The 12301-nt window shown below is 46.0% G+C and overlaps 1 protein-coding gene across 2 annotated transcripts in view, besides 3 other annotated features; it reads left to right on the top strand.

Moving 5' to 3' along the window:
• Positions 1-1672: 1672 nt before the first annotated feature.
• Positions 1673-12301, top strand: part of PHLPP2 (PH domain and leucine rich repeat protein phosphatase 2) — a 79778-nt gene continuing 69149 nt past the window's right edge. The window contains exons 1-2 of one of the 2 annotated variants that reach the window (NM_015020.3): positions 1673-2045; positions 11573-11862. In NM_015020.3, the coding sequence (NP_055835.2) occupies positions 11579-11862 (284 nt within the window). In that variant the 5' untranslated portion in view covers positions 1673-2045; positions 11573-11578. Of the gene's footprint in view, positions 2046-10533; positions 10821-11139; positions 11863-12301 lie in introns of those variants that run through there. The other variant, NM_001289003.1, reaches the window with a different exon arrangement.
• Positions 2100-3069: a silencer, noted in NCBI's record as "silent region_7683". NCBI's record gives its function as "represses an Ori minimal core promoter by ATAC-STARR-seq in GM12878 lymphoblastoid cells {active_cell/tissue: GM12878}" and the evidence as "EXISTENCE:reporter gene assay evidence [ECO:0000049][PMID:35858748]".
• Positions 2100-3336: a biological region, named in NCBI's record as "H3K27ac hESC enhancer GRCh37_chr16:71756941-71757442".
• Positions 2835-3336: an enhancer, noted in NCBI's record as "H3K27ac hESC enhancer chr16:71756941-71757442 (GRCh37/hg19 assembly coordinates)". NCBI's record gives its function as "activates a minimal SCP1, AML or CMV promoter by ChIP-STARR-seq in primed H9 embryonic stem cells {active_cell/tissue: H9 hESC(primed)}" and the evidence as "EXISTENCE:reporter gene assay evidence [ECO:0000049][PMID:30033119]".

The raw sequence follows: 12301 nt of genomic DNA, 5'->3' as shown, positions 1-12301 counted from the left end.
GAGACCAGCTTGGACAATATGGTGAAGCCCCATCTCTACAAAAAAAATGCAAAAAGTAGCCAAGCGTAGGGTGGTGCTCACTTGTGGTCCCAGCTACTGGGAGGCTGAGGTGGCATGATCACCTTAGCCCATGGAGGTTGAACCTGCAGTGAGCTATGATTGTGTCCATACCGTACTCCAGCCTGAGCAACAAAGCGAGACCCTGTCTCAAAAATAAAAAAAATATAAAAGGCTTTTGAAAAACACTTTTTTTTTTCCTTGAGACAAGAGTCTCCCTCTGTCACCCAGACTGCAGTGCAGTGGCGCGATATCTCGGCTCACTGCAACCTCCACCTCCCAAGTTCAAGTGATTCTCCTGCCTCAGCCTCCTGAGTAGCTGGGCCTACAGGCTCGTGCCCCCACACTGCCTAATTTTTGTATTTTTAGTAGAGATGGGGTTTTGCCATGTTGGCCAGGCTGGGTTCAAACTCCTGACCTCAGGTGATCTGCCCGTCTTGGCCTCCCAAAGTGCTGAATTACAGGCATGAGCCACTGCACCCAGCCAGAAACACTTGTTCTAAACCACATTTTTTTCTTATCACTGCTTGCCTGCCCTTGTTAAAATTTGCTTCTGTCTCCATATTGGTGCCTATTGCTTATATACCAGTTTTCTTGTTGGGAGAAATTACCCAGTAAGCACTGAAATGGGAATCCAACTACTTTGAGTACCTTTCCTGAAAATAATTTCAAGGTGGAAGGAAAATCCAGGAGGTGGATGACCTAAGAGTTTTCTCCCACCTTAAACCAGACTCACAGTGACAAATCGTTTTTAATGCATTAAAATGAGGCCAAGAAATGAAGATTACTGGAGATTGGAATTTTGGTATATACAAAGCTAACTTGTGAAGGGAGAAAGTAGGTCAGAAAGGGGTCGGAACCTGCAAGAGCCAAATTTGGTCCTGGCATTTAAAATATCTCCAAATGGATACATATCTCAGATGGGGGACACAGACTGCTCTGTTAAATCTAAAAGTCTTGTACTAAGCCTGCAATTATTCTAGACATACAGTTAGTCTGAATGAGGCAAACTGAAGCAATGGATAATAGGGACAAAGGGTCCTGCTTTGTCACCCAGGCTGGAGTGCAGTGGCACGATCTCGTCTCACTGCAACCTCCGCCTCCCGGGTTCAAGCGATTCTCCTGCCTCCACCTCCCAAGTGGCTGGGATTACAGGCGTGCGCCACCCTGCCCAGCTCATTTTTTTGTATTTTTGGTATAGACAGGGTTTCGCTATGTTGGTCAGGCTGGTCTCGGACTCCTGGCCTCAAGTAATCTGCCTGCCTTGGCTTCCCAAAGTACTGGAATTACAGTTCTATGAAAGTGAAGAAATTACTGTTTTTTGCTGTCTAATTCCTTACAAGTTGCTTGAAGATTCAACACCCTATGTATGAGGGGAAGCCCTAAAAATCTGGAAGTCTAGAAGCCTTCCTAGGAAAATTTAGGAGGAATCGACAGAGTACTTTTCGAGAAACCGATTGGATCTTCAATTTAGAATTTTGGAATTATAATGGCTACTATGGATCCCCACTATACGTTAGGCACTTTGTATGCACTAAATCTTCATCATAACTACTTGGCAGATTTTAATCTCTTTCTCACAGCTTAAGAACGAAAGGCTTAGATCAAGTAACTTGCACAGGGGTATAGATCTAAAGAAGGGCAGAGGGGAGATCTGGAAACAGGCTGGCTGACTCCAAATTTGGCCCATTGGCAACAAAACTACTATCACTGCGAGAACGAAAAGAAAAACAAAACAAAGAAAAGAAAAGAAGTTAACTTTTAAAAGTTTTTTTCTGAATCAGCCTTGCAAATAAATCATAAACCGGGTCACAGGCCATATTACTGCTTGAAGCAGAGCACCGAATTCTGATAATTTTGCTCCAGGAGGAGGCAAGGGAATTAAAACATGGCTGGGAGGTGAGCGGACGTTTTGTACGAGGTTGGGTTGAATTTGCTTAAGAAGGTCGCACGCATCTCTGATAAGGAAGAGAAAAGGCCTTGCCAAGGTGAGTATTCTCAACAGTTCGTTCAACGGCTTGGCAGGTGAGGGAAGTTACAAGAGCCACCCTGGCGGAGGGCAGCGTCTTGTCACAATTGACAGGTGCCGGCGCCACCTGCTTCTTTCTCCCGCGGGTTTCTTAGAGGGCGGGGAAAGCAGCAAATACCCCTCCTTGCGCTCTAGTCCTCCAAGCCTAGGGCGGCGGGCAGTGGAGGCCCAGCGCTCTGCGGTGGTGCCAGGTTCCGCCACGCGGGCCGCGGCCGGAATGCGGCTCGGTGGCGCCCGGGCCACTCGGCGCCGGCAGCTGCTTAGGTCCAGCGGGGCTGCGGGAGGGGCGGAGCTGGCGAGCCGCCGGAGGGGCGGAGCCGGCGGGCCGCGGGGGGCGGGGCCACCGGTTGCTCGCGCGCGCCGCCGAGGCTCCGCACGCCGTCGCGCGGGCCGGGCGTCTCTGTGAATCCTGGGTCGCCGATGGGGGAGGTGGAGCCGGGGCCCGCGGGCCCGCTGGAGCCCCCGGAGCCGCCCGAAGCGCCCGCGAGCCGCCGGCCGGGAGGGATCCGGGTCCTGAAGGTGAGGAGGCGGATGGACCAGCGAGCGAGCGAGCGGGCGAGCGGGCAAGCGGACTAGGGAGGGAACGAGGGAGGCTAGAGGCCGCTGCCGCCCCCGCCCCGCGCAGTGGCTGAGGCAGTCGGCGGCCCCCGCCCGGCGTCAGTCAGTCGGCCGCCCCACACCCGGCTGGGGACGCCGAGGCCTCCGCGCCGCGCCCGCGTCCAGGCCTCGGCGCCTCGGTACCCCGCTGCTGCCCATCCCTGGCCGCGCGCCGCCCGCCTCGCAGGCCCACGCCTTTGGGCTGCGGGTAGCCGCCGCCCACCCGGACCCTTCGCCGCCCCTGCTTGCCTCGCCGCGCTCGGGGCCCGGAGGCCGGCTCCGGAGGGCTCGGAGGGCCGCCGGTTCCTGGCACAGGAGCGGGGCTGGAAGTACGCAGGGCTTTCTCCCCTCCCGGACACCTGAAGACATCACCCCAGCGGGAGGATGGCAGCGGCGATTGGCCGGCGCCGCGGAGGGTTCGGGGCCAGGCCGGGTGGAGCCGGCTCCTCTGCCCTCGGGGCTCGCTACCCGAGGTGCCAGCCGGCAAGGACGACCCGCCCAGCTTGGAGAGAGAATCCCCGCTGGAGCTGCGTCGCGGGGACTTGCTGGGCGTGTTGCGGAAGGGAGGAGGGGCCGGGCCGAAAGGGGCATTCCTGCTCCCGGGAGCGGGGCCGACTGCCGAGGGAGACGGAATGGGGGAGCCGTTATGCAACAGGCAGCTAGCGGGGCTTCTTGGCAGGAATTGGGGGAGTGGGAGGATATGAAAACAGATGTAGGCAAGAGGGGAGTGGAACCTTGAAGGTGATGAGAAGTAAGTTTACGAAGGAATGCACAAGGTAGGGTGGCGATAGTGGGGAGGAGAAGATGGTTAAAGGGAGGGGTTGTGGGAGGCTGACTGGGTGGAGTTTTTTACTAGCATTTGAAAGAGTTGCAGAGAAATTTTTCTGTAGGTCAAATACGTAAACTAGGTGTCCTTCCGCAGGTGGAATGGAATTCCTTCTAGAGTTCTACATGAGGAATTCAGGATATGAAACTTGCCCAGTAGAAGGATGGAAAGGAAAGAAAATTTAAATTTGATGTGTTTCAAAAATACATTGCAAAACAAAACGTATGATGTTAAAAATCCTTTAGTAGTTTATTGGGATTGAGGTTCAGCAGTATTTACATGTTATGAAGGTTAGTACGATGTTACAAAGATGGGAACACGGAAAAACAATAATAGAACCCAGTGAATCCATGGAACAACGTAAACTAGAACTCTGTAAAATATAAAACATTTTTTGTGCTACTGCCTCTCAGTTTTTTTTCTTTTTATTTATTTTTTGAGACAGGGTCTCACTCTGTCACCCAAGCCTGAGTGCAGTGACTCGATCTCTGCAACCTCTGCCTCCAGGGTTCAAGCGATTCTCCTGCCTCAGCCTCTTGAGTAGCTAGGATCACGGGCACCCGCCACCACACCCCACTGATTTTTTTGTATTTTTAGTAGAGACAGGGTTGCGCTATGTTTCCCAGGCTGGTCTTGAACTCCTGATCTCCAGTGATCCGCCCGCCTTGGCCTCCCGAAGTGTTGGAATTACAAGGATGAGCCACCACGCCCGGCCTCATACAGTTTTGTTAAGTAGCTGAGTGGTTGAATTGTGCCAAGTGATGCTGGAAAAGAAGTATTACAGTAGAATACTCTGAATTGGGAAGAGTCATCTCCCACTCATTTTTCTCTGAAGACCCTTCCAAAACTTCATTCTTTTTTGTAACTCTTTTATACCTAATACCAAATCATGAACATTATTGTCAGATAATACAGATATTCTTCAAAAGGCTAATATAACTAAGCCAGTCTAACTTAGCCAGACTAGATCCAGTTCCATCTATCCTGGGATACTGGAAAATTTCCTTCAAAATGTGCCCCCAGATTTATTTAGCGAATTGCTGGACCATAGGTTTGTAAATTTTCCAGGTGTTTCCTACAATTTGGGGTTTATGGTTTTTTTTTAGTAATGATTAACTTTTTTACTCAGCTTATAGAAGATAGGAAGTTACAGCTAATGTCGGTGTGTGTCATGAGATTCATTTTTTTTTTTTCAAGAACAGTTTTGGGTGTTTAGCAAAGTATGTATAAACAATTAATGCCAAAAAAAATTTAAAAAGATTTTTTTTTAGAGACATAGCTTCATTGTGTAGCCCACGCTGGAGTGCAGTGGTGTGATCATAGCTCACTGCAGGTTCAAACTCCTGAGCTCAAGTACCTCAGCCTCTCAAGTAGCTAGGACTATAGGCACATGCCTGGCTAATTTTTATTTTTATTTTTGTAGAGATGGGGTCTTGCTATGTTGATCTCAAACTCCTGGCCTCAAGTGATCCTCTTAACCTTGGGCTCCGAAAGCACTGGAATTACAGGCATGAGCCACTGCACCCAGCCCAAAACGTTATTATTGTTATTATTTTTTTGAGGCAGAGCCTCTCTCTTGCCCAGGCTAGAATGCAGTGGCGCGATCATGGCTCAAGTGATCCTCCTGCCTTAGCTTCCTGAGTAGCTGGGATCATAGGCACGTTTTTTTTTTTGTTTGTTTGTTTTGTTTTTTTAGTAGAGATGAGGTCTTACCTTGTTGCCTAGGCTGGCCTTCAACTCCTGGGCTTAAAGGCTGTCCCTCCTCGGCATCCCAAAGTGCTGGGATTACAGGCATGAGCCACCGCACCCAGCCCCAAAACATTTTTAAAGCGCTGACATATTCTTTCTCTATCTCATCCCATCCCTCCCCACCGCTTTCACAATATTTAATAACGTGTGTATTCCCAGATATGAGTCTATATTGTTTTAAAGTTTTGAATGCAGAAACATCTTCTACCTAAGAGTATTTCACATTGTTTTTTTTTTTTTCGTCTTTTGTTTTTTTTTCCGAGGTGGAGTTTCGCTCTTGTTGCCCATGCTGGAGTGCAATGGCACGATCTTGGCTCACCGCCTCCCGGGTTCAAGCGATTCTCCTGCCTCAGCCTCTCGTGTAGCTGGGATTACAGGCATGTGCCACTACGCCTGGCTAATTTTGTATTTTTAGTAGAGACAGGGTTTCTCTATGTTGGTCAGGCTGGTGTTGAAGTCCTGGCCTCAGGTGATCCGCCTGCCTCAGCCTGCCAAAGTGCTGGGATTACAGGCATGAGCCACCGCACCCGGCCGTATTTCACATTCTTGCAGAACTAACTGAATATGGAGAGTTACTTTACCAGACCCTGTTTATACCATGTATATCTTATTATTGTATGTGAGTGTGTAATAGTATATCACCTTTGAACTGATCATTGCCCTCATGGAACACTTTTAGAGTTAAAAGTATAAAACTGGGCTGGGCACAGTGGCTAACTACTATAATCCCAACACTTTGGGAGGCCGAGGCGGGTGGATCATTTGAGGCCAAGAGTTCAAGACCAGCCTGGCCAACATAGTGAAACCCCGTCTCTGCTAAAAATATTTTTAAAAATTAGCTGGGCGTGGCCAGGCGCGGTGGCTCACGCCTGTAATCCCAGCACTTTGGGAGGCCGAGGCTGGTGGATCACGAGGTCAGGAGATCGAGACCATCCTGGCTAACACAGTGAAACCCCGTCTCTACTAAAAATACAAAAAATTAGCCAGGCGAGGTGGTGGGCGCCTGTAGTCCCAGCTACTCGGGAGGCTGAGGCAGGAGAATGGCATGAACCCCGGGGGGCGGAGCCTGCAGTGAGCCGAGATTGTGCCACTGCACTGCAGCCTGGACAACAGCGACACTCCGTCTCAAAAAAAAAAAAAAAAAAAAAAAATTAGCTGGGCATGGTGTTGTGCACCTGTAATCCCAGCTACTCAGGAGCCTGAGGCAGGAAAATCGCTTGAACCCGGGCGGTGGAGGTTGCGGTGAGCCGAGATCGTGCCACGGCACTCCAGCCTGGGCAACAGAGGGAGATGCTGTCTCCAAAAAAACAAACAAACAAAAGTGTAAAATTGAAGCAGTGGGTATTTAATTCATGGCTTACCCTCAAGACTTTTGCCTTCTAGAAAGATTTTTTTTTTTTTTAAAGACAGAGTCTCCTTGTGTCACCCAGGCCCATAGCTTATAGAAGATACGAAGTTACAACTAATGTCGGTGTGTGTCATGAGATTCTTTTTTTTTTTTCAAGAATAGTTTTGGGTGTTGAGCAAAGTATGTATAAACAATTAATGCCAAAAAAATTAAAAAAGATACTTTTTAGAGAGATAGCCTCATTGTGTAGCCCACGCTGGAGTACAGTGGCGTGATCTCCGCTCACTGCAGTCTCCACCTACTGTGTTCAAGCGATTCTCATGCCTCAGCCTCCAGGGTAGCTGGGATTACAGGCATGCGTGCCACCACCCCCGGGTAATTCTTCTGTATTTTTAATAGAGACGGGGTTTTGCTACGTTGGCCAGGCTGGTCTCGAGCTCCTGACCTCAGGTGATCCTGCCCGCCTCAGCCTCCCAAAGTGCTGGGATTACAGGCATGAGCCACTGCGCCCGGCTAGAAAGATCTTTAAATCTAAAATACGCTCTTTGTATACTTGTTTGATGTAAGAGGTAATTGTCATTGTGTTCCCTTTCAAATAAATTTGTGATAACAATTCTATAAGAGTAAGGGGAAAATAATTTTCTCAACCTAGCAATTCCAGTAGAATGGTGATTCTAAAAGTTGAAAGCACCTCAGAGGACCGTGTCATCTGCAGTCCTGGCTCCTAGGAAGGTTTTTCCAGCAGTTAACTGATGTGTTAAGCAGTGGAGCAAGACATTCTTGAGAAGAAGGAAGCACTAGGCAATTCAGCAGTGGCTAATAACAGCTAAACAGTCCATCTAGATTGTTGCTGTAAGCCTTTGCTTTGCTTAATATCCAGGCCTTTTAAGTGCCCATCGGTCAGGTTTAAGAGAATGATATATACTGAAGTTGTAACTTAGCAGTTTATCTTCTTAGGGCGGAATGTATCATGTAGACAGGAGATAGATCCTTTGAGGTAAATGATGACCAACAGCGTGTATATTTTGTTGTTGTTGTTTTAATCTTTATTTTATTTTAATTTTTTTTGAGACGCGGTTTCACTATGTTGCCCAGGCTGGTCTTGAACCCCTGACCTCAAGTGATCCTCCCTCCTTGGCCTCCTGAAGTGCTGGGATTACAGGCATGTGTTTTGTTTTTTTTTTTTTTGAGATAGAGTCTTGCACTGTCACCCAGGCTGGATTGCAGTGGCGCAATCTCGGCTCACTGTGGCCTCCGCCTCCCAGGTTCAAGTGATTTCCTTGCCTCAGCCTCCCAAGTATTTGGGATTTCAGGCGTGCACCACCACGCCCAGCTAATGTTTTTGTATTTTTAGTAGAGACGGGGTTTCACTATGTTGGCCAGGCTGGTCTCGAACTCCTGACCTTGTGATCCGCCTGCCTTGGCCTCCCAAAGTGCTGGGATTACAGGTGTGAGCCACTGCGCCCGACCGCATATATGTTTTGATAATGTAAAGTTCCTTAAGGAATTTATAATCTAAGGTAAATATATATGCACTAAAAATGACTGTTAAAAATCCTCACAGAAGAAAAATCAGGCCTGGTGTGGTGGCTCATGCTTGTAATCCCAGCACTTTGGAAGGCCCAAGCAGGAGGATTGCTTGAGTCCAGAAATTCAAGACCAGCCTGGGCAACATAGCAAGACTCCATCTCTTAAAAACATACAAAAAATTAGCTGGGTGTGGTGGCATGTGCATGTAGTCCCAGCTACTCTGAAGGCTGAGGCTTTAGGATCACTTGAGGTCAGGAGTTCGAAGCTGCCGTGGGCTATGATCACGCCACTGTAGTCCAGGCTGGGTGACAGAGCGAGATCGTGTCTCAAAACAAACAAAACTTCCTGGAGTCTTCCTTGACTTTTCTAAGATTTAGAAGGTCAGTGGACCATTATTTGACCTTAGAAAGTTGTTCTGAAGACGACTTTTTTGTTTGTGTGAAACAGTGTCTGCTTACTCTTTTTTCTCCACTGAGTAGAGAATGCGGAGCTTTGTATAAATATTGCTATACTATATGGAATACTGTTTTCAGATGGTCCAGTTAATCTTTCCCAAAGATTAAAAAATGAGGAGTATTTAAAATTTAACAGTATTTACCTACTAAATATTTAACTATTAGCAGTATTTGACTATTCAGTGGTTAAAATTACTTAGTACAAATACGATGGTCCCTATGTTTATGCAGTAAGCCCTTGAAAGCCCTTTCATTCTGAGATGTTCAGCTTTGAGAAAATGCATTTGATGAGAAAACTAGTTCTCACTTGTAGCAGGGATTTATCCTACTTCTCTAAAGTTAGATTCAATAATCCTCATGGTTTTGAATAGCAATGCCTAAATCCCCAAGATCTGCAAAATGATCAGTTTTCCTGAGTTCTAAATTTAAACAATAAAGCCATTCTTACTCTTGTTTTTCTTTTTTCCCACATAGAAATACCTGCTAACTTTTCATTCCTCTTTCTCTGACATCTTTAGAAATGTATTACCCTCAAATATTTAATCTTAGTAATTATAAAAATAGTATTTGCTGTATTTATAGGTATTTCTATTTTCCAATGAGGAATACTACTGAAAGTATTTTATTTACTCCCATTCACTTTGCAGCTGCTGCAAAGATGTAGGGTTCTCCATAGAAATGGGAATTTTCCCCCCCAAGTTTGTTCAGCTTCTTGCCAGAGCTAATTGGACTAAGGTACAGATTGGGAATAGGTTTCTGTGATGTCAGCTGAGTTCTACAAACACTTCTGTGTCACCCAGGTGTTAACATGCTAGAAATGGAGAAGAGGAAGAAATATCAAATAAATAAATAAAACCCATTGTCATCGATGTAGTATTAGAGGTGTACTCAAGGTGAAGAAGTTCTTAATTCTGTCTAGATAATTCATTAATTCTGTCTAGTAAAAATGTCTGGTAGTCATTAATTCTGTCTAGGGAGAATAAGGATAGGAGATATGGAAGGCTCCATAGAGAAGGTGATGCCTGAGTAGGATTTTGAAGAATAACTTGTCATATGGATGAGGTGGAGAAAGCCATTTCAGACAGGCCACAGAATTGTGGTGTACTTGGTGTGTTTGGAGAGCTGCAGGTAGTTGGAGGTGATTGAAACATGGAGTAAAGGGCAGTAGTAGGGAACGAAGCTGGAGAGGTATGGCTGCGGAAATGTCAGTGGAAATTTCTTTTTTATCAAAAAGAACAGAAATAGCCCATCATAAAAATAGAGCAGGCAAATGCTGATCTTTAGAAACTTGTTATATTACCTGTAGAAATTGTTTTTGCTTTGAGATAACTTGGCAATATATGAATTTCACATACCTAAATTATCAAATGCGACATTAATTTTTTTTGAAACAGGGCAGGAATGGAAAGTATATTTGTGCAGTATTGTGTTGATACTACACTTGGCTTATTTGGGATGTAAAGCAAAGGGTTAGGACCCTAGAGAAACACACATTTTCATAAGGAGACATGTACAAAAATGTTTATTGCTGGATTGTTTCTAGCAGTGAAAAATTGGAAGCAAACTGAATGCTGTCAACAGGAGAGTGGATAAAGTTTGGTGTATTTGTATAAGGGAATATTATTCAAATGAATGAACTGGGTATATTAACACAGTTGTATCTCTAAAGCAATATTGAACTAAATAAAATTACAGGGTGAAACATAAGTATTGTTAAGGATTAGATGAAGTTTAAATTAGATAAGACAATACTGTGTATGGTTTATAGATTAAAGTTTTTTTTTTTTTTTTGAGACAGAGTCTCTGTTGCCCAGACTGGAGTGCGGTGGCACAATCTCGGCTCACTGCAATCTCTGCCTCCTGGGTTCAAGTGATTCTCCTACCTCAGCCTCCCAAGTAGCTGGGATTACAGGCACGTGCCACCACACTCGGCTAATTTTTTGTTTTTTTTTTTTTTTTGTATTTTTAGTGGAGATGGGGCTTTACCATGTTGGCCAAGCTGGTCTCGAATTCTTGACCTCAAATGATCCCTCACCTGGGCCTCCTAAAGTGTTGGGATTACAGGTGTGAGCCACCTTGCCCAGCCTAAAGTTTCTTTTTTTTTGAGATGGAGTCTTGCTCTGTCACCCAGGCCGGAGTGCAGTGGCGCTGTCTTGGCTCACTGAAACCTCTGCCTCCCAGGTTCAAGCAATCTTCACACCTCTGCCTCCCAGGTAGCTAGGATTACAGGCGTGTGCCACCACAGCTGGCTAATTTTTTTGTATTTTTTAGTAGAGATAGGGTTTCACCATGCTGGCCAGGCTGGTCTCGAATTCCTGACCTCAGGTGATCCGCCAGCCTTGGCCTCCCAAAGTGCTGGGATTACAGATGTGAGCCACTGTGCCCAGGCAAAATATTAAAATTTCTATTTTTGAGAGACAAGGTCTCGCTCTGTCACCCAGATAGGGTTGCAGTGGCACAATCACGGCTCACTGCAACCTCAATCTCCCGGGTTCAATCTGTTCTCCAACTCAATCTGTTCTCCACCCTCAAGTAGCTGGGACTACAGGCGTGTGCCACCATGCCTGGCTAATATATAAAAAAAAATTTCTTTTGTAGAGATGGGATGTTGCCATCTTACCTAGGCTAGTCTTGAACTCCTGGCCTCAAGCAGTCCTCTTACCTTGGCCCCCCAAAGTGCTGGGATTACAGGCCTGAGCCACTGCAACCCGCTGTTTCGTTATTCTTGACACGTTTCTGAAAACACAAGGAAAAGAGAGGTCAACGAAGATGATGGATGGAAACACAGACAGCAGTAAAGAAAATTAAGTTATCTGAGTTATTACGAATGAGCATGATAGATGTGAAGTGCTCCACAAAAGGAGGGGATACTTGAGCAGAATGTTGGGGAATATAAAGTAGAGAGAGGTGGGGTGAGGACTGAAATGTCTAATTCAGTCAGATGTTCTAGCTAACGATTTCTTTCTCTTGATATTTTTTAGAGAAATATGAAACGCAATGGGAGCAGAAATTGTTTGAATAGGAGAAGTAGGTTTGGTTCTCGAGAAAGAGACTGGCTAAGAGAAGATGTAAAGAGAGGCTGTGTTTACCTTTATGGAGCAGACACTACCACTGCCACTACAACCACCACCACCTCCTCTTCCTCTTCCTCCTCCTCCTCTTCCTCTGACTTACATCTCGTCCTTTGCACTGTAGAGACACCAGCATCAGAAATATGTGCTGGAGAGGGAAGAGAAAGTCTTTATTTACAGCTTCATGGAGACCTGGTCAGGTGAGGTCTCAGTTTTACCACTCTAATTCTACCGTAATATAAATAATAATGTGTTTCTGCTTAGAACTGGACTTTAGGATTTTAATTCTGCCGGAACTGATGTTGATTACGGACTCACTGGGCTTCAAGATTTGTCCTTGGAAGGCTGACTTTATGAATCTTGAATTTAAAAACTATTGACCAAGGAAAATTTGAGAGTTCTTTGATTTGGAATACACCATAGGTCAGATATCTAAATTTAAAAATAAGTATTTTAAAAGTTAAATTTTTTTGGCTGGGCACAGTGGCTTATGCCTATAATCCCAGCACTTGGGGAGGCTGAGGTGGGTGTATCACTTGAGGTCAGGAGTTCGAGACCAGCCTGGTCAACATGGCGAAACCCTGCTGCTACTAAAAATATAAAAATTAGCCAGGCATGGTAGTGCGCACCTGTAATCCC

This window comes from Homo sapiens, chromosome 16 (assembly GCF_000001405.40).
Source record: "Homo sapiens chromosome 16, GRCh38.p14 Primary Assembly".
NCBI lineage: Eukaryota > Metazoa > Chordata > Mammalia > Primates > Hominidae > Homo > Homo sapiens.
This window is presented reverse-complemented; position numbering and strand designations above follow the sequence as displayed.